The following is a 22191-nucleotide window of genomic DNA, read 5'->3' as shown; positions in this document are numbered from 1 at the left end:
ATTGGAAAAAAGTTCTCAGAAATTAAAATAAAAATCAAGTTAAGCCAATCTTGAAAGTAAATAACAGACTCCTTAGGACCAGAGGGTCATCTGAGGTGATGCGGTCTAATCCCCCTACATGAATATCATTCAATCATGGTCAATACAAAAAGCCAGCTTCAGTTTCAAATGCTGCCTCTTTTTGAGGGAGCTTTAGGTACTTTTCCTATCTGTGGAGTCCTTAGGATCCTCAAACAGATTCCTGTCTAGGAATTTTAGTCTGTGCAGTTTTGTTTGTGTTTTCGATTTTCTCATAGTTACTAACCAAGGAATGCTTCTTTCGAGAAGAAAGTTCCAGCGTGGTGTCATACAGGCTTTCCACAAAATTTCTAAGGCAGGGAACATTTACTTCATTTTTAACAGCCTGAAATAGAGATGCATGTGAATATTATATTAATAAAATTGTTGATTTTGTGATACAATTTGAAGGAGTTTTTAGAAATGAAACTCACAGCAGCAACTGGAACAAGTATTTCAACAAAAAGCCCAGCCAAGGCATGCTTGATATCTTTGTCTTTGACCTCGAGGAAGTAATGTGCACATTCCTGGGAAGCAGAAAAAGAGTATAGGGAGGGAGAGTAGGTTGAAATGTACACATAGAATGTATTTAAACAAGTTTCAGTAAGTAGCTCTTAATTCAATCATGTATCAACAGAGCATATTCCATAGTCTATTAAAAATCACTGGATTCAAACATTTGTATTGAAATTTGTATGTTTGCAATGGCCTCAATGACATTCTGCAAGGCTGGTTTTTTCACTCTTATATTTCAATTCACTATTCTAAAAGGACAAAGCATCTCTAACCAGCAAGCACACGTGTATCCACTGAGTCACTGGTTGATTCATTCAGTCATTCACTTCCAATACATTTCTATTTATTACTTAGTGTGTGTGTTAGGCCCTGGGCTCCTAGTTAGCCCACAAACACAGATCCCCAGGGAAGGTAAACATGGGAAGAGAGGCAGAAGACATCGAACTTATTTTAGGCCCTATGCCTGACAGCCTCAGGCACAGAGCTGTTTACTTGTTCGCTCTGACATTTTAGGTGTGTTTATTATTCACCTAGTTTCATAAGCAAGTCAGGAACGTTTCCCTCTCCCACCTCAACAAGGAAACCTTTAGAAGGGTTCCTTAAGAAAGGACACTACTGCCAGTGGACTGTTGTCATATGTAAGGGTGTTCTTGGTTGCTCAATGACTCATTCTGTAGGAAAGTTGGCCTGCCAACATTTTTTTTTTAAACAAAATGTCAACTTTTTTAAAAGGAAAGTTGGCAGAATTCTGCCCACCTCTCTCTCCTTCCTGGCCTTATTGGTAGTAACTTATTGTGGTCTATATCAGGTATTGTTTTCATTCAAGAGTCCAGGGCAGCCAGATGCCATGGCTCATGCCTGTAATCCTGACACTTTGGGAGGCCAAGGCAGGCAGATCGTTTGAGCCCAGAATTCCAGACCAGCCTGGGTGACATGGCCAAACCCTGTCTCTACAAAAAAATACAAAAATTAGTTGGGCATGATGGCGGCACCCGTAGTCCCAGCTACTTGGGAGGCTGAGGTGGGAGGATCACTTGTGCCTGGGAGGCAGAGGTTGCAGTGAATCAAGATCATGCCACTGCACTCCAGCCTGGGTGACAGAGTGAGACCCCTGTCTCAAATTCAAAAAAAAAAAAAAAAAAAAAAGAAAGAAAGAAAGAAAGAAAAGAAAGAGTCCAAGGCTAAATATAATAACATGTTAATATCTACACTGGCTATTTCCCTTTATTTTCTGTTGCCATTGGGAAGATTGCCAAAAACAATCCCTAAAGTCCTCATTCTATCAATATCATATTAAGACCTCAGCTCAAGATAGGCAACACCAGTACGGGAAGTCACTGAAACAGCTTTCCTATACAGATGAGCTCTATAGTTCCCAGAATAGTCATTCTTTTGCTACATTATTTTGCATAAGTATGTAATACTCTCTCAAGTCTTAATTCATGTATATAGATAAAGGAATTATTAATATGAGAGTGGGATAAATAATAAAATATTTAACAGTTACTGAGTGTTTGTCATGTGCTAAGAATCCTCAGAACCACTCTCTAAGGTTAGTGTCATTATCATCACCTTGCAGATAAGGGAAGTGAGGATGGGAGGGGTTAAGTGTGACTGGTCAGGTCACAGAGCTGGTAAATGCCAGAGCTTGAATTCAAACCCGAGAAGTTTGATACATAGTCCCCCCAATATATAATAGTTTTATTGTGACATAATTTATGTAGTATGCAATTCACCCATTTAACATATACAATTCATTGACTTTTAGTATAATCACAGTTGTGCATCTGTCACTACTGTCAAATTTAGAACCTTTTAATGACACCCAAAGGAAACTCTACCCCTCAGCAGCCATCTGCAACCTCCCTATCCACTCCCCATCCCCAGCCCTAGATAACTGTTAGTCTACTTTCTGTCTCTATGGATTTGCCTATTCTGGACATTCCATATAAACAGAATAATATAATACATGGCCTTTTGTGTATGGTTTCATTCACTTAGTGTAACATTTTCAAAGTTCACCCATGTTGTGGCATGTATCAGCTTCACTACTTTTTATGGCCAAATAATATTCCATTATAGGGATATATCACATTTTATCTATCCATTCATCATTTTATAGACATTTGGGTTGTTTCCACTTTTTGGCAACTATGAATAATGCTGCTATGAACATTTGTGTTCAAGTTTTTGTGTGGACATATATTTTCATTTCTCTTGTGCATATACCTAGGAGTGGAATTGCTGGATCATACGGTAATTCTAGGTTTTGCTATTTGAGGAACTGCCAGGGCCAAGCTGTACCATTTGTGGCACAGGCTGTGCCAAAGTGGCTGTGCCATTTTGCACTCATACCAGCAGTGTGTAAGGTTCTAATTTTTCCACATCTTCACCCAGAATTGTTATATTTTTGACTATAGCCATCCTTGTGGGTGTAAAATGGTACAGCCTATATTCATAATCCATACATCTAAACCCTCTAGTAAGGTCATCACCAAATTTAATTCACAGCAGCATTTTAAAAATTCCTTCAAATACCAAAGTTTTGTAAACTCTAAGAGCTGAGTATTCTGTTAAATTCTCCTTAGCAGCAATTCTTTTGTTATGTACCATGATGGGCACTGGGCAATAAATATCAAACCTGTATTGTTTAGCTGAGTTTTTAAAAATTAAGATTCCTTTTTATAGTAAGAATAAAACAGATTTCTTTATTATTTCAAGTCCTCATGCCTGTGAATGTCAATGTAGCCAACCCAATGCTATCAATTTTAAAAAGTAAAAATCAGTTATATTTTATTCATAGAACAATATGTACCAGTGGGTGAAAGAGAAAAAAGTCAGCAAACAAGCAATCCCACTGTATACTCTCCTCCAAAGATATATGAAAGTTGAGAAATGAAATTATGTGCCCGCAACTGTACTATTTGGTTACAAAGGACTTCATGAATTATTTAGACAGTAGAATGTTTCTCCGTATTGACAAGTAATTGGCTTTTCATGTTCCAGGTTCATCATTTTGAGGAAGGGAAGTGCTCAAGTTGAGAGCACCTTAGCTCTCCTGCCTAAGACATTACCTGCATAAACTGAAGAGAGGCCTCAAAATCCTCCACTGGATACATCTTAATTCGAAAGAATTTCATGCCCATTATTAAGCTGATAATGCTTTGAACCACATATGGGTTCTGCTCTTTGTGCCGTAATTCTTTTAGCTCCGCCATAAATTTCTTCTTTACAGCAGGGAATCTAAGAAGATAACATAAGTGGTTTATCAAATATTGGGTAGGAAAGTCCCTGTAATGGGGGCCTCCAGCATCTGGGAGTGATTGAGCAGAGCAATGGAATCCTTTAAATCAGTTCAAGTACAACAGCCATGATTTTGTAAGGATTTGGTGTTTGGGATTTGGCAAAGGATCCAATTTTCTTCTCCTTTACCCTTCTTATACTGTAAGATGCTCAACATCTTCATCAGGCGAGGGGGCAGATCCCGGTTTATTTAGACCTTCTCAAAATGGTCTAGCTCTTAAATTGAGCATCACAAAAAACCCCATTTCCTCAGGCTTGGCCATTTTCAACACAGTTGCAGACCCCAGAGCCTGAAGTATCAAATAGTGAGTCTATGAGCAATAACATACTAGGTTAGTGATTTCTGACAGGGACAGCAAATGATATAAGGATTTGTATTCCAAATAATGCCAAGTATTCTTGTAATTCTAAAGTTTTCTGTTATCATTTCCTTTATAGTTGTAGGATAATGATTATTGAAAAATATATTTTTGGGTTAAAAAATCTAGTAATGGGAGGCCGGGCGCAGTGGCGCTCGCCTGTAATCCCAGCACTTTGGGAGGCCGATGCGGGCAGATCACCTGAGGTCAGGAGTTCGAGACCAGCCTGACCAATATGATGAAGCCCCATCTCTACAAAAAATACAAAAATTAGCCAGGTGTGGTGGCACGCACCTGTAATCCCAGCTACTTGAGAGGCTGAGACAGGAGAATCACTTGAACCCGGGAGGCAGAGGTTGCAATGAGCCGAGATCATGCCATTGCACTCCAGCCTGGGCAACAACAGCGAAACTCTGTCTCAAAAAAAAAAAAAAATCTAGTAATGGGAAAATTTAAATTATATCTAAAAGGTAAAGATGAATGGGCTGTCTATTATATTCATGGAATTTTACAGTTTTATCTGATAAGTGCAAAACAAACAAAAAGACACAGTCCAGTCCCTGTCCTCAAAGTATTTGTATTCGAAAGTAAAATAATACTAATTACAACAATATTATCATCCATGTTTGTAAAAAGAACAGATCTTAAAGCTAAGAGAAAGCAGAAGCAGATCTTCAAGTACCTAAGAGTAGAGAAATGTACACATAGAAATTGTCCATACCACTAAGTCTGACACAGCTGGTTTGTCTATTCACCAAAAAATACACACACACACACACACACACACACACACACACACAAACACTTTCCAAAGAAAACAGTCTAAGATTTATTGTATTTTGTTTTCTGAGACTATTAGCCTGAGGTTCCATGAAAAATTAGAAGCAAGCCTTGATTAAAAATGGTAATTGTTGCTGGGTGCTGTGGCTCAAGCCTGTAATCCCAGCACTTTGGGAGGCCGAAGTGGGTGGATTACCTGAGGTCAGGAGTTCGAGACCAGCCTGACCAACATGGTGAAACCCGGTCTCTACCAAAAACACAAAAATTAGCCGGGCGTGGTGGTGTGCGTGAGGCTGAGGCTGGAAAATCGCTTGAACCTGGGAGGCAGAGCTTGCAGTTAGCCAAGATCACGCCACAGCACTCTAGCCTGGGTGATAGAGTAAGACTCTGTCTCACCGGAAAAAAAAAAAAAAAAAAAGGCTGGGGGAGGTAATTGTGATTATAGAAATGAAAGGTGAACTAATAGAGTCCCGGAAGTTTGGAACAATTCTTGAGACCTTAAAGCAGAAATTTCAGGACAAATAAAGTAGGCAGTAAACATAGAGACATTGTTTAACCAAAGGCAGTACAGGGGCTGGTGGTTGGCAAGTGGGGCGTGAGGGGATTCTCAAGTGCTGGCAATTTTCTAGTTCTTGGCTTAGGTGGGGAGGTAACATGGTGTCCATTTTATAATACTTTGTTTAACTGCCTTATGGATTTTCCTCTATGTTTGCTACATGTATTTCTTAATAAAAAAGATTTTTAAAAGGCAATAGAGCAGAAAATATAAATAGCTTCAAGAAGATTTAGACAACTTATGAATGAGATATTCCCTAATGGGTTATTAGCATCGCTAAGAATATTTCAGGGTATTTTCCTAATCTTCGGTGGCATTTGGTGGACTTCTACAGAATACCCAATTTCAAGACAGCACCCCAAACTGGCCCCTTCTGACATTTAAATAATACTATTAGAATATGGTAGAAAATATTAGCTGTGTTTACTTTATAAGTAAAATTTCATGGAGATTAACTACAAAATGGTATATTAATTTTTCAGATTAGGAAATTAGCAAAAATTAAAATAGAAACTTTATTAAATTTACAAAAATCTATTTGGTATCAGCACATTCTCTGGTCCTACCGCAGACCTACTGTTAGGGCTGAATTGTGTGCCCCTCAAATTCATATGTTGAAGCCTGACCCTTCTGAGATCGAAATGTGACTGTATTTGGGCATACAGCTTATAAAAAGGTAATTAACTTAAAACAAAGTTATTATCATAAAATGGACACCATGTAACCTCTCCAGCTAAGTTATTAAGTTAAAATGAAGTTATATCTCTGTGTGTGTCTCTGTACTCGTCTCCCCTTCTTATAAGGACTCCAACATGACTGGGAGATGAGTAGAGACACACACACAGAGAAGACCATATGAAGACACAGGGAGAAAATGGCCACATACAAGCCAAGGAGAGAGGCCTCAGAAGGAATCAACCCTGCTAACACCTTGAGCTTGGACTTCAACTCCAGAACTGTGGGAAATAAATTTCTGTTGTTTAAACCAATTAGTCTGCAGTACTTTGTTATGGCAGCTTAAGCAGAATAATACACCTACTGAATCCGTAATTCCAGGGATGAATAATAATTTGTGTTTAATAAGCTCTACAGGTGTTTCTGATGTGAAAAAATTTGAGAAACACTGGTGTAGACTCAGAATAACAATAACAAGAAATATCTGTAAGTGGTTTTACATTTTAAGCGATTATACCATTTCACATTTTGATCCTTAACAATCCAGTGAATTAGGCAGTGAATGCATTTCCAATTAACAAATAAAGAAACAGATTGGAAGACCACAGTGGCAAAGAAGAGACTCAAACCCAGAGCTTCTGATATAAATTCCAGGAATTTCCATTACACCGCAGCTGTCTTAGACAGTGGTAATGGTAACATGTAGTCTCTGCCCTCTCTAGAATAGTTTATAGTTTAATTAGGAAGATAAAACAAGGTAGCACTGACCATGAGCCATGTGAATCACAATAGTAATAATTTACCGGGGGCCTACTATGTGTTAGCACCTGCTGGACACTGTCCAGACCTTTCTGATCTTCAGGGAGTTCAGATGCACCAGGTTCCATCACTTTCTTATATTTCACACTGACTATTTGGTGAATAGTCAATCACTATTCACTATTAAATAGTGGCTTCAGGGCATCAGAGAATGAAGGGGCTATTCTCATCTGCGTAATTAATTAGAGAGGATTTCAGAGGAGATTTGAGCTGGGGTACAGGTGAGCAGAGGACATTCGGTAGAGATGGATAAAAGGTAGGAAGCAGAAATGACCATGACTGTCAAGCAATGGAAGTGATACTTTAAATCAAGATTATAAAAATGCAATAACCCCAAACTGAATTTTAAAAAATTGTATTTCTTTTCAAATTATTTCCAGATACCAAAATAACTATGGTTTTAATTTTTAAATGTATGAGTTTAGAGAGAAAAATATTATAGTTAGAGTTATATAGTTTTAAAGATGACACGATACTAAGGAAAGTTTGTTTTCCAGTTTGAATCCATGACTAAAATAAGGAGAGAGAGAAAAAGGGAAGTTATTTGCATAATTCACTATTTCAATATTCTCATGAGTTAGTGGCTAAAAGTTTATTTATTTCTCATTTAAAAATAAATACGTCTATCTTTTACTTTTTTTTTTGAGATGGATTCTTGCTCTGTCACCCAGGCTGGAGTGTAGTGGCACGATCTCGGCTCACTACAACCTCCGCCTCCCGGGTTCAAGCGATTCTCCTGCCTCAGTCTCCTGAGTAGCTGGGATTACAGGTGCGTGCCACCACTCCCAGCTAATATTTTTTGTATTTTTAGTAGAGACGGGGTTTCAACGTGTTAGCCAGGATGGTCTCGATCTCCTGGCCTTGTGATCCGCCCACCTTGGCCTCCCAAAGTGATGGAATTACAGGTGTGAGCCACCGCACTCAGACTTTTATTTTTAAAAGTCCCAAATGATATAAACATGTTACTTAGCACAAAAGCCATCAAAAAATCTATTTGCATTTAAAATCTATTTTCTCTTAAAGTGACTTTAAGAAAAAAAAATTTCAATGACCTTTCCTTTAGTATTTCCTGTTTAGTATTTTATTTAGTAAATACTGTAACTCAATGATTACTTAGTCTTTGGTATACTATAAAATTCACATGAATATAAACTTCTGCTTTAAAATGTATAGTACATATTACAAAAATGAGTAAATGAACATATAAAGATAATATCGCATAAAGAGAAAGTAGTTTAAAAATCTATGATTCTTAAATGAAGTATTATTACTATTTAAATGAATCTACCAGATTTTGGCCAAAGTAGTTAAATTTGTTTTAACTGACTTTCAAAAAGTCAATATTATGGGTGAATAACACTTATTATCAAAATTCTTTTCCCTAAATGACAAGAACTAAACAGCATCATCACTAGTAAGACTAAAAATAGTGATTCTGCTAAAACTCAAATTCCAAAGTAAGTACTAATAGCTAAAGTCATAATCAGGAAAATATTTAATAAGCATTATCATTGGGAATGAGACATATAATCTAAAATTAGAATTATTACATTACTCAACTTTTTTAAAAAAGATAATCACACTATACCAGATAAGCAAACATTCTTTCTCCCACCCTGGGAATGAAGGAAACAGTACTTTTCTAAGGTAACAATAAAGTAATGGTCCTGGTGTACTTATGAGAAAGAAGTAATGTCATAATTCATGGTATGATACTAGTTTAAGTTTATACCATCTATCCATCAAGGTTAACTACATATAGACTAGTTGAGAACACATCAAGGGCTATTGGAGTCTGTGTTTACTGCAAGAGCAGACTGGCCAAACGGTTCACTAGAGACTGGAAAGTACTGGAGCACTGTCCAAATGGAGGCATTTCTTACACCCTACTACCGCAGAATAGGGACAAATACTGACATCACGAAAATAAAAAAAGCCACCATTGGCAAGCAAACACTGACTTGGTGGACCATAAATCTTACCTAAAATGGAAATTCCTACAAGCTTAGAATATTGCTCAGTTATGACAGTGTTTCTCAACTTATTCACAACCAACTCAGAATCACAGAGCTAAGGAAGGTCATTTGACAGTAACCAATATTATTGTTATGCATAATTCACAAAAACTAAGGAAAACACAAAGTCATTTTTGGATACTGAAGTTTCCAAATGACAGCTGAAAGTTTATGTTGAGATTTTCAGGGTTTGACAAATCAGCAAGTATACATGTTAATACCTCATTTTTCCCAATCTTTTCTAGAAATGAGGTAGATACACGATTTGCTGGATAACTACAGCTTGTCCATTTAAAATGCTAATGCTTTCATTACTCAATTGCAATGGAAATATCTCCAAAATGCATTACACTTTTTTCTTAATGATTCATGAACCACAATTATTTTAATAGGCTATAAAACTACAATATAGCCTCATGCAAAATGGCCCAGATCACTCTATTGTTTAATTCTTATGTATGCTTTGGCCAGTTTCTTTCCTTTCTGTTGCCACCAGCGGTTGAGCTTTATTTCTCAATGGCATCAGTTTATCATCCTCTGGAAGTTCCCGTTCCTCCTTCGAACACTGATGTGTTATATATTAAAAAAAATATAGTCAGGATGAGTAGATAAACTGGATTAGATTAAATAAATTATGCCAAGGAGTTAAGGGGTTCTATTTCCTGCATTCTGGTCTATGTTTTGGCCAGGTAAGATTGCTAAGTGCTTTTTAAAATTTTTGTTTTTTTGATAAATTGTGTAATTTCCATGCTACTACGTTACGAAATTCAATCCCTTGAAGATAAAAATCTCTTTCTGAGGAAGGATTGCATTTCACAAGGATTGGAGCATCACTGTTGCTTTAAGCTGACCTCCTGGCATGAATTCACATTATGTCTCTGGTTCATTTTGCCTAACTTAGGCATTCGGGATCTTGCCTGATTTGCCTCAGGGTTGGACAAAATGAAGCTGGGTAAGTAGGGTGTGACATCACTTTTGGAAGAGGTATATTGTTGCTAATAGTCTAACGCAATTTTGTTCTTGCCTGCTAAGTAGTGCTATGGGGCCAGATAAATTTAGCAATGAGAATTTCCCCCCTGACTTGTTTCCATGACAGAGTCTGGGACATTTTTAGCTCAGCTGAATTAAGTAAGGTCTATAGTAAAGGGGACATTCTAGAATGGAATTTTCCCACTGATAGATGATATATTGTAACCACCCACTCATGGGCTAGAGAAAACAGAACTTTCAAAAGTGATAAACTTCCTTGGAATATTTAGGCAGAGAGAAATGTAATCTGGTCACCCCATTTCTTTGATGCAACAGTATGAAACCCATGGACTCTAGGTAGGATCTGGCCCAAGTGCCAAGTAAAAAAGATAATTGATACCTGTCTTGGAAGAGCTTTCTATTCAGTTTCAGAGATGGGGCACACATGGCAAAGAGCCCTACCTAGTTCCTTGTAAGCTCAACCCCAACTTCCCTAAATTAGGGCTGGAAGGACAGTGAAAGCACGCACGTTCTCATGGTAAAGGGTTCTGGCATTCACTTACTTGGCTTGTGCCAACACTCCAATGACTTCTGCATACAGGTCTGCCACAATATGCATATTGCCAGTGTTGGGACCAAGGTACCTAAGTAGGGTATAATTAGACAAGTTAGGGATCCCTGGTCATCGGAAAAAAGCAAACCACTGATTTAGTTTTAAACACCAACTTCAACATTCTAAGGTGAGAAATCATCTTACCCTTCTTTGTATTTAAAGTGCTTGAAAGCCAAGTTAATAACATCATGTATTAAACTGTCTATTACAGGATGAAGTGGAATCTGAAAAAAAAAGGTGGTTCTTAACTCAGAAGGGAATATTAAAGAACAAATCGGTACAGTACTTCCAATAACTATATATGACAATCAATAGCAATCAATAAACATAAGTCATATAACCCAGTATTTGGAATTCAGAAATAATTTTAAAAACTTAGACTTTTACAACCTAAGTAGTTTTTAGATCAATAAATATTATCTAAAAGTAACAATAAATTAATCACCTACCTGTTTCAAAACTTCTATTAATACTAAAGAAAAAATAAAATCAATGGCGAGGTCCCGTCTTTCCATTAAATAATCTCGCTGTTGTTCATCGCTGTAAAATTTAAAATATTTACATTAAAGCACACTGAAGGTATTCTCAGAGTAATACAATTCATAAAAAATCTAGGACTCCTCCCTAATAGACTGCAAAACCCATTTTTAAAATTATATAATTGCACTGGTAGATACATGCTAACGTTGGCCGGGCGGAGTGGCTCATGCCTGTAATCCCAGCACTTTGGGAGGCCGAGGCGGGCAGATTACCTGAGGTCAGGAGTTTGAGAACAGCTTGGCCCACATGGTGAAACCCCGTCCCTGCTAAAAATACAAAAATTAGCCAGGTGGCATGGTAGCCCATGCCTGTAATCCCAGCTACTTGAGAGGCTGAAGCAGGAGAATCGTCTGAACCCGGGAGGCGGACGGAGGTTGCAGTAAGCTGAGATCATGCCACTGCACTCCAGCCTGGGAGGCAGAGCGAGACTCCATCTCAAAACAACAACAACAACAACAACAACAAAACATGCTAATTCTCTGTGTGCTGCAGTGGACAAACATTGGATTTGAAGTCGGAATATTTGACTTCAAATTTAAAATTTTCAATGATGTTAACTTGAGTAGTTATTTGTGCGTCTATCACCTCACCTTGTGGTCTTTTCTAAGGTAGCTTTCAACTCTGCAATTCTACCACCTGTAAAATGTGATAACAACTTGAGACAGGCTACCATACCAGAGGTGGACATTGAAAGATCTCGTGAAAGGAGCTAAACAATGTAAGGAAACAAGAAGGAAATAATATGATCACCAATTTGAGCAGGACTGCAGGGGTGAAGAGGATCGGCATTACCACTTTTCTTTTCTTTCCCTGTCCCTTTTCTCTTACATTTTTTGCCACTTGAGACTTAGTGAAAGGAGGAATGAAGAAGTGAAGGGGTGGTGAGAGAGAAGAGTAAAAGGCAGAAGGAAGAAGAGGTAGGAGAAGCAAAGCAGTCATTTGTGCTCATTTAAAAGTTAGAAGCACGTGGTTGTGGTGACTATGGCCTTATAGTATAATTTGAAATCAGGTAGTGTGATGCCTCCAGATTTGTTCTTTTTGCTTAGTCATGCTTTGGCTATGTGGGCTCTTTTTTGGTTCCATATGAATTTTAGAATTGCTTTTCCTAATTCTGTGAAGAATGACGGTGGTATTTTGATGGGGATTGCATTGAATTAGTAGATTGCTTTTGGCAGTGTGGTCATTTTCACAATATTGATTCTACCTATCCTTGAGCATGGGATATGTTTCCATTTGTTTGTGTTGTCTGTGATTTCTTTCAGCAGTGTTTTGTAGTTTTCCTTGTAGAGGTCTTTCGACTCCTTGGTTAGGTATATTCCTAAGTATTTTATTTTATTTTTTGCAGCTATTGTAAAAGGGGTTGAGTTATTGATTTGATTCTCCGCTTAGTCGTTGTTAGTATATAGAAGAGCTACTGATTTGTGTACATTAATCTTGTATCTGGAAACTTTGCTGAATTCTTTTATCAGTCCTAGGAGCTTTCTGGAGGAGTCCTTAGGGTTTTCAAGGGAAATGATCATATTGTCAGCAAACAGTGACAGTTTGACTTCTTCTTTACTTATATGGATGCCCTTTATTTCTTTCTCTTGTCTGATTGCTTTGGCTAGGCCTTCTAGTACTATGTTAAAGAAGAGTGCTGACAGTAGGTATCCTTGTCTTGTTCCAGTTCTCAGAGGGAATGCTTTCAACTTTTCCCCATTCAGTATTATGTTGGCTGTGGGTTTGTCGTAGATGGCTTTTATTACATTAAGTTATGTCCCTTGTATGCCGATTTTGCTGAGAGTTTTAATCATAAAGAGATGCCGGATTTTGTCTAATGCTTTTTTTTTTCTTTTTTTTTTTCTGAGGCGGAGTCTCACTCTGTCGTCCAGGCTGGAGTGCAGTGGTGCCATCTTGCTCACTGCAAGCTCCGCCTCCCGGGTTCACACCATTATCCCGCCTCAGCCTCCCGAGTAGCTGGGACTATAGGCGCCTACCACCATGCCCAGCTAATTTTTTGTATTTTTAGTAGAGACAGGGTTTCACTGTGTTAGCCAGGATGGTCTCGATCTTCTGACCTTGTGATCCACCCACCTCGGCCTCCCAAAGTGCTGGGATTACAGGTGTGAGCCACTGCGCCCGGCCTGTCTAATGCTTTTTCTGCATCTATTGGGATGAACATGTGATTTTTGTTTTTAATTCTGTTTATGTGGTGTTTACAGCTAACTGATCTTCGACAAAACATACAAAAACATAAAGTAGGGAGAGGGCACCCTTTTCAACAAATGGTGCTGGGATAATTGGCTAGCCACATGTAGGAGAATGAAACTAGATCTTCATCTCTCACCTTATACAAAAATCAACTCAAGATGGATTAAGGACTTAAACCTAAGACCTGAAACTATAAAAATTCTAGAAGATAACATTGGAAAAACCCTTCTAGACACTGACTTAGGCAAGGATTTCATGACCCAAAACCCAAAAGCAAATGCAATAAAAACAAAGATAAATAGCTGGGACCTAATTAAACTAAAGAGCTTTTGCACGGCAAAAGGAACAGTCAGCAGAGTAAACAGACAACCCACAGAGTGGGAGAAAATCTTCACAATCTATACATCTGACAAAGGACTAATATCTAGAATCTAAAATGAATGCCAACAAATCAGTAAGAAAAAAACCACCCCACCAAAAAGTGGGCTAAGGTCATGAGTAGACAATTCTCAGAAGAAGACATACAAATGGCCAACAAACATATGAAAAAATATCTCAACATGACTAATGATCAGGGAAATGCAAATCAAAACCACATGTGATACCAACTTACTCCTGCAAGAACGGCCATAAAAACAAAAAACAAAAAACAAAAAAACCCGTAGATGTTGGCGTGGATGCAGTGAACAGGGAACACTTCTGCAATGCTGGTGGGAATATAAACTAGTATAGCTGCTATGGAAAACAGTGTGGAGATTCCATAAAGAACTAAAAGTAGAATTACCATTTGATCCAGCAATCCCACTACTGGGTATCTACCCAGAGGAAAAGAAGTCATTATTCGAAAAAGATACTTGCACATGCATGTTTATAGTGGCACAAATCATGATAGCAAAATCGTAAACCAACCTAAACGCCCATCAATCAATGAGTGGATAAAGAAACTGTGGTATATATATATGATCGAATACTATGCAGCCATAAAAAGGAATGAATTAACAGCATTTGCAGTGACCTGGATGAGATTGGAGACTATTATTCTAAGTTAAGTAACTCAGGAATGGAAAACCAAACATTCTATTGATATGTGGGAGCTAAGCTGTGAGTATGCAAAGGCATCAGAATGATACAATGTGGGCTGGGCATGGTGGCTCACGCCTGTAATCCCAGCACTTTGGGAGGCCAAGGTGGGCGGATCATGAGGTCACGAGTTCAAGACCAGCTTGGCCAACATAGTGAAACCCCGTCTCTACTAAAAATACAAAAATTAGCCAGGCACAGTGGTGCATGCCTGTAGTTCCAGCTACTTGGGAGGCTGAGGCAGGAGAATCACTTGAACCTGGGAGGTGGAGGTTGCAGTGAGCTGAGATCATGCCATTGCACTCCAGCCTTGGTGACAGAGTGAGACTCCGTCTCAAACAAACAAACAAAAAAGAATGATACAATGGACTTCGGGGACTTGGGGGGAAGAGTGGGAGTGGGGCGAGGGATAAAAGACTACAAATATGGTACAATGTGTACTGCTTGGGTGATGGGTGCACCAAAATCTCACAAATAACCACTAAAGAACCTACTCATGTAATCAAATACCACCTGTACCCCAATAACGTACGGAAAAATAAATAAATGTTTAAAAAAGTTAGAAGCAGAATCAGCACTGTCAGAAGAACAGGAAGGCAGTCCCTCTACCCCATTTTCTGCTTGACTAACACACTGATTGAGGGCTCATTTGGAATTGAACAAAGACAGATGAAATTACTGCTGGGCTCCTTGGCACAAGAAGTGGCCTAGAGCACTGACTCTGGTGTGGAACAGTCTGGCATAAAATTATGCCTCTTCTATTTATCGGCAATTTCTCCATCTACAAAATGTGAATAATAGTACTTACATAATAGTTTGAGAAGATAAAACATGTAAAGTATTTAGCATAATTTCCCAAACACATAAATGCTCAATAGTATATATTAAATAAAACCAATGAGGAGGGATGACAGGATTTAGACTTGCCAGGAAGATCTTTTCAAAATAAATCAAGACTATTTTAAATCTGGAATGTTTTTCTCTTTAGTCAAAAGGGAATAAGAAGAAAATAATGTGATATTTAAGATATAAAGAAGACCTTCTGGAGTGCTCTGTAACTTTGAGCAAGTCAAATTAAGGCTGGTGGATGACAGAACGCGTTAAGAAGGAACTTGCATGTTTATCTTTCAAGGAGTAAATGTATCAACAGAGTAGGAACTCATTCTTTCAGGATCATTTATGAACAGCCCTGCCAGGAGAAAGAGCTGTGAACAAAACCATCTATCTAAAGTCCTTCAAGACCCACTGGAACTAGTAAGCGGCACTGCGAGCTGGGGGAAAGGAAAATCTATGCAGCTGCATTAAAAAGGAGGGCACTCAGAAATCAGGCTTTATATCCATTATATTATAGAATAAGGAGACAGGAAGTTGGAAAGACCAAAAGGAAGGAGAACTCCCAGAGATGGCCAGCAGCAGTAGAGAGAGTATTTTTGTGCTGGATGCTAAGGGTCTTTACAAGTGGCCAGAGGAACCTGAGAAAGTAGCAGTTCTTGGCAGAAAAAAAAATGTAGACCTTTGATTCTATTTTATTTAATAAGCCAAATTATGTTTTCAAATCAAAGTAAGACATATACATTTCTAATAATGAATTCAACTTTATTGCTGGTTTGCAGTCTAACTGCCAGGAGCCAGAGACATTTGACAGATTTATTTGGCAGTCCAAATGCTGATACTGTACTAATCTCAGAAATCACAACCCAATGTGCATCCCTGACATCTATTTTCAGTAGTTTATGCTCCTCCTTAAAGTCCCCCCAACCTTTTTTTCCTAGTAGCAGAAACTCACATTTAGCTACACCATACCCTAGAGAGCTTCATTCATTTGGCTGTTTTCTAAGCACATTTTCTCTCTTATTTTAAAAATTCAAGCATTAACTAAAATGCTACTAAGTCAAATTTTACTGTCCTGATTCTTTATCTGATCTCAGTACTTACTCTGATCTCCTGAAAATAATCAGTAACACAATTTTAAAAACTATAATTTTTAATCCATAAAGAAATCAATTCATGAAAAATCTAATTTCAGCAACTAAATTCTGACAAAACAGAGGAACAAAACTAAAACTCAATTCAACTCACTAAAAACTGTCCCACTCCCTGCCCCTGGGAAGGTTTAATATCTGTTCATAAGACAACATGTAATATGGAAAAAATAATAAAATGATCCTTTTAATTTCTTAATCACATGGTCTGAACCATTTTTCAGATAAACAATTTAAATTCTATTTTTAAAACCTGATAAATTAAAAAAATATTCATGAGGAGAGGCTGCTAATGGGTACAGGATTTGGGGGTGATAAAAATGTTCTGAAATTAGAGTGGTAATGGTTGTACAACCCTGTAAATATACTAAAAACATTGAATTATATACTTTAAAAGGGTGAATTTTATGGCATCTGAGTTATATCTAAAAATTCTAAAAATTTCCTTCTTCACTAAAAAAAATTCAATACGAAAAAGTTATTAATCTCTCTCCCAAACAAAATTATATGATTAAATCTTGCATAAATTCAAGCACATTATAAAAGCAGATTACAAATTTTGTTGAAGTGTAACATGGTAATGTTACAATTCTTCTATTTCAAAAGAAGTCTTTTGAAACAGTATTAGGACTTTCAAGAAAAATGAGAGAAATAAATCATTCACAAAAAGTAGTTAATGTCTGATTTTCTGGTTGATTAATTTCAGTTTACAGACTTTAAAAGTATTTTTTTAATTGGAATAATCCATTCATGTGGAGAAATCTAACTACTTTTTAAAATAATCTTTTATTTTTTTTAAAAAAGGTAAGTGTATTAATCTTTCTTATATTCACTGCCTTGCTATAGGTTGACTAAACATATGAAATTATATGTGCTTACCTAAAATTTGGGGAGGACACACATTAATGAGAATCTTAAGTTTTACAGATGCTGATATGCTCCTGGAGCAGCAAGTTCCATTTTTCAAACCCACAGGAAGAAGGGAACAGAGAATAAATAAACAAAATACTCAGCTGGAAGGAGGAGTTGGAGATGGTGTCACCTAACTTCCTTGTTTTGCTCACAAGGAGGCTGAGGTACAGAGAGGCGGGGAGCTGCCCAAAGTCACATGGCTAAATAGTGGCAGCGCCAGGACTACCACTAACGTCCAGTCCAGCGTCCTTCCCACTACAGTACACTGAGCACTCAAGGTTACTGGAACGAGGACTAAAATATCTTGGCATGTCACGCAAGGCCTGAAGTCAGCATTCTGCTTTGGGTGTAGACTCAGTGGGAGAGGGCAGAGGAAAGAAGCTGGCAAGAAAGTGACCTGTGGCCCTTCACACCTGTCTCCACCAAAGTTGAAATAAAGCTGTGTATGAATTTTCAACCCGTGACGGCTGGCAGTGACTCGGTGCTCCAAATGGGTTACCTGCTACAGACACAGGGCCCCTGCAGCACCTGCTAGGCATCCTTGTGAAGAGTCAGGAAGACCCAATTGCCTTGTAACTCTAATTTTGATTTATGTTTCCTGAAAACAAAACAAAATAAAACCATGATCCTTACACAAAAGAAATGTACCTTTTTGATTTATTGCTTGTTCTTGGTCTGTATTCATGTGATTCATCCTCAATGCCATTTTGCCTTTTATACCAGTCAAATAATGTACGTAGAATGGAAGGCAGGCAGTACTCAGAAAGGGAGCTCATTGAGCTGATGACCTATGGAGGAAAATGCAGGTGATTAGAACACTGGTAGCACTGCCAATTACTGAGAAACTTTTTATTTCACAAGTAACCCCAAGCACTACTCACTAAAATATTTTCTTCCGTATCACAGTCCTTTCTTTCATAATCTTTATTAGTACATTCCCAAGAGCCTGTCTCTTAATGGTGACAAATGTTCCCCATATAAGAATAATTTTGTAGTTCAAGAAAGTTAATTACTTTGACTCCCTTTCATTCTAGAAATCAGATGTTAATTGCATACAGGTTATTCATGGAACTGCAAAGATATTATGTTCCCACGTTCATCTGCCTAAAGTAGATGAATGCTTCTTCCGTCCTAAAAATGTTTGTTGTATAAATATATGAATACAGTTACATTAATAATTTACATGATATAAACAAATCTGCCCCCATCACCAAATAACCTAAGTGGTAATAATAATGTATGGTTTTGGACAATAATTATTCATTCATTAATTTGAAGTATGCCCCAAATTAGACTCAAAATATAAATGGGCAGCAATAATTTACCCCCTGTTACATTAAAGGCAAACTTCTCCCTTTTTCTTTAAAGAACAAATGTGCCTTTGGTAGAATTGTTATTCTAATTTCCTTATCTGGAAAGAGTCCTGATTTTTTAACTGATTACTATAAAAAAACACTTCAATCCATATCTCATTACTCTATGCAAAAGTTTCCACAAAATGCCTCATAAATTTAAGTATAAAACCTAAAAATATAAAACTCCAAGAAAACATAGGATAAAACCTTTGTGACTTTGTATTAGGCAAGGATTTCTTAGGTACGGCCCCATAAGCAAAGTCTATGATAAAATTTCATATAATGAAACTCTTCAAAACCAAAAACTTCTGCTTTTAGAAGAATTCAGTTAAGATCGTGATAAGGGACAAACCACAGAGTGGGAGAAAATATTTGCGAAACACATGTCTGACTAAGGCCTTGTCTCCAGAATATGTAAAACTACAATGAAATGGGTTTTAACTAGCTAATCAACAAACTGTATAAGCAAATTATAACGCCCAGAGTTGATGAGCAGTGATAAAGTGGATATATTCATATACCGCTGATAGAAAAAAACAGGCATAACATCTCTGGAAATACATATCAAGAACCTAATAAAAATCATTCCCAAGAAGGCCACTCTTAGAATTTATCTCAAGTCCATAATTAAAGATAAGTAAGAAGGTGCAGGACAGCATTATTTATTATAGCAAAAGGATGGAAACAACATAAATGTCCAACTACATGTAAATGCTTAATAAGATGTGGAATTTGGTGTGGACTATTTTTGAAACCATTAAAATCATATTTTAATATAAATATAAAAATATGACATGAAAATGTTCATGATATGGTAAATGAAAAAAATGAAGAATCATTTAATTGGTATGATTCCAATTTGTTAGAGATACTATGTAAGTATACATATGCAGAAAACAGGACCAGAAGGAAACATACTAACATATAGAGTGCATGTGAAAACCAGGGGTTCTTAGGTCAGATCACTAGAGGGAGAAGGAGGCTGGGAATTTAAGAGAAATGAAGATGAGAGTTTACCTGGGACTATTTTAGAAAGGGTAGAAATTTGAGATGAGACCCAAGAAAAAAAAAAGCAAAGACTCAAGGTAGAAAAAGCCTTTAGTAATGAAGGTATAAAGTAACTGTTGATGATTATCACAATTGATGTGACGAAGGTTTTGAGTGAAATGAAAGAAGAAATATCTGACTGGTATGAAGACTTTATTTTGCCAGAGTGAAGGAACATAATGCTGAAAATTTTTCTTCTCTAGAAAATGAGAAGACTCTAAAGATTTTTGAATAGGGACATAAGCCCATACAAATTGTGTATGGGGAGGCTGAATCCCCCAAACAGTGGGGTGATGTGGAGGCAAATTCACACACATGCTTGAACTGCATGAGGTGATGGCAGTGATTCCAGGCATTCTGTGATCTCGGCCTGAGAAGCAGAGATGGCAGAAGAAATGGAAATCCTTAGTTAACTCACAATATTTCTGCAGTTAAGCAGGCCGGGCTTCACTTCCTTTTATAAAGCAGGAAATGAGAGCAAAGGGAGCTAAAGTGCTTTGTGTCAATAGGATTTTCCACTGTCACCTTTAAAAGAAACCTTAAGATTGAACAAAATATTTATTGCTTTCTTTCTCACATTCTACCACTTCATAGCCTACTTCATGCTGTCTCTCCCATAATGATGGTTATATGTACACATACAAAATTGTACATTATCTTTAGTTATGAGTTAATATAAGGTAAAAATAAATAGGCTATTGCATTCAGCCTGCCCTGTTAACCTAGTCAGCATAAACTTTTTAAAACTGAAGAGCAATCTAATTATTTAAAGAGTCACCCTTCCCTTGACTCTAGTGAAATCCACAGCCAAGACATATTTTTCCTGCTGTGGTCATGAATGTAACAGCAGTAACTTTTCAGAAGAAAGCTAATCATGATGTGGCAAGGTAGTAATTCACTAATTCTTTCTAAAGTTATCCCAACATGAGAAAGGATATTTACTTTCCGAAGTCACCAACATCTAAAATGTTTTGAATTGAGAAATGAAGGACATTCCTCCCATTGAAGAAAAAGGGATCAGAATTCAGAGTTTCTGACTATAGGATGACTATCTTAATTATTACATAGGTAACGAAATTTCAAAGCATTACAGTTATATTTCAATAATTTAAAAATACTTGTGTAAATCTGCCGAATCTAAGGAGACATGATGACTAAACGTTCATGTGGTATGCTGAATGGTATCTTGGAACGGAAAAAAGATATCAGAGAAAAAGAAAGGAAATACAAATAAAGCACAGTAGAGTTTAGTTAACAATAATGTGCATGGAAACTGCACCCCCTCCCCAACAGCTTGCCCTACACATCTCTTCATCTATATCCTTTGCAATCTCCTTTATAGTAAACCACTAAAAAAGCCCAACACATAAAACAATAATGTACCTATGCTGGTTTCTTAGTTGTGACAAAAGTACCATGGCAGTGTAAGATGCTATAGCAGCAGGGGAAACTGGCAACTGCCTGAATTATCTTTGCAACTTTTCTGCAAATCCAAAACTATTTCAAAATAAAAAGTTTATTCAAAAAATACTTGTGTGGGATATTTATAAGTTCCAATACTCACTACAGACCCATAAAAGAGATGGAAACTTACGTTTGACTCCTAAACATCTCTGGGCAATGCATGCAATGTTCCGCTACCTCATGTATGTGGAACCCCCATTCTCCATAGAGAACTTCCACAGTGTTCATCAGACTTCATCTATAATAATTTCTTAAAATATTTTTTTCTCCCCCATTAAAAAGTCACCCTGAATCCATTCTTGGTGTTAGATCTACTGGGCATACTTTCCATGGCAAAACACTGAAACCATCTTAGAAGGGATGAAAGGTCAGCATGGGGTGGATGTGTGTGTTTTTCCATCTTTCTGTTACTGCCCTTCTGAGCCCAGGCTTTCAGGAAGGAAGGGTGGAATTTGCAAAGACCTGGCCCTCAAAGCTCAGGAAGGGAGGAAGGTCTAGCTGGCTTCTTGGTTACTCAACTCCTTCATTTACGGGAAGCAGAGCCAATGGTAAGATGAATTCTAGCTCTGTGCTCCTGATGAAAGAGGGCAGGCCCATTTACAAAGATGTTCTTGTTGCATTTAAATGATCATATTCTTCCACCACAGATGAGCTAGTGAGCTAGGTACTGGGCAGCATGAAGAGATGAAGTGCACAGAATCACAGGACTATTTCATACTTGTGTTTTCTTTTTTGGGGGGATACAGAAGAAAACTAAATGTACTTTGTAAATGTTTTAATGTTTACTTTGGCAGTTTATGTATAAATAGGCCAAAAGAGACTGTTATGCTGCAGCTAAGACATTGATTTTTCATAAGCATTTCATTATACTTGTTAAACGCAAAGAAGGAAACTTTACATATAAGTGTTTGAATAATTACTCAGTGGAGTCATTCCATATTTTATAGTAATAAGACTGG

At 37.4% G+C, this 22191-nt stretch overlaps 1 protein-coding gene across 5 annotated transcripts in view; it reads right to left on the bottom strand.

Moving 5' to 3' along the window:
* Nucleotides 1–22191, bottom strand: part of FRY (FRY microtubule binding protein) — a 267352-nt gene that overhangs the window by 163638 nt on the left and 81523 nt on the right. For all 5 annotated transcript variants that reach the window (XM_047429999.1, NM_001411012.1, XM_047430000.1 and 2 more), the window contains exons 4-10: nt 18015–18154; nt 11112–11202; nt 10807–10886; nt 10613–10693; nt 3648–3816; nt 492–584; nt 305–403 (exon numbers count right to left, since the gene is read on the bottom strand). In XM_047429999.1, the coding sequence (XP_047285955.1) occupies nt 305–403; nt 492–584; nt 3648–3816; nt 10613–10693; nt 10807–10886; nt 11112–11202; nt 18015–18154 (753 nt within the window). The remainder of the gene's footprint in view (nt 1–304; nt 404–491; nt 585–3647; nt 3817–10612; nt 10694–10806; nt 10887–11111; nt 11203–18014; nt 18155–22191) is intronic.

This window comes from Homo sapiens, chromosome 13, assembly GCF_000001405.40.
Source record: "Homo sapiens chromosome 13, GRCh38.p14 Primary Assembly".
Taxonomy (NCBI): domain Eukaryota; kingdom Metazoa; phylum Chordata; class Mammalia; order Primates; family Hominidae; genus Homo; species Homo sapiens.
Note: the sequence above shows the minus strand (reverse complement) of the source record. Positions and strands in the feature narration are given on the sequence as shown.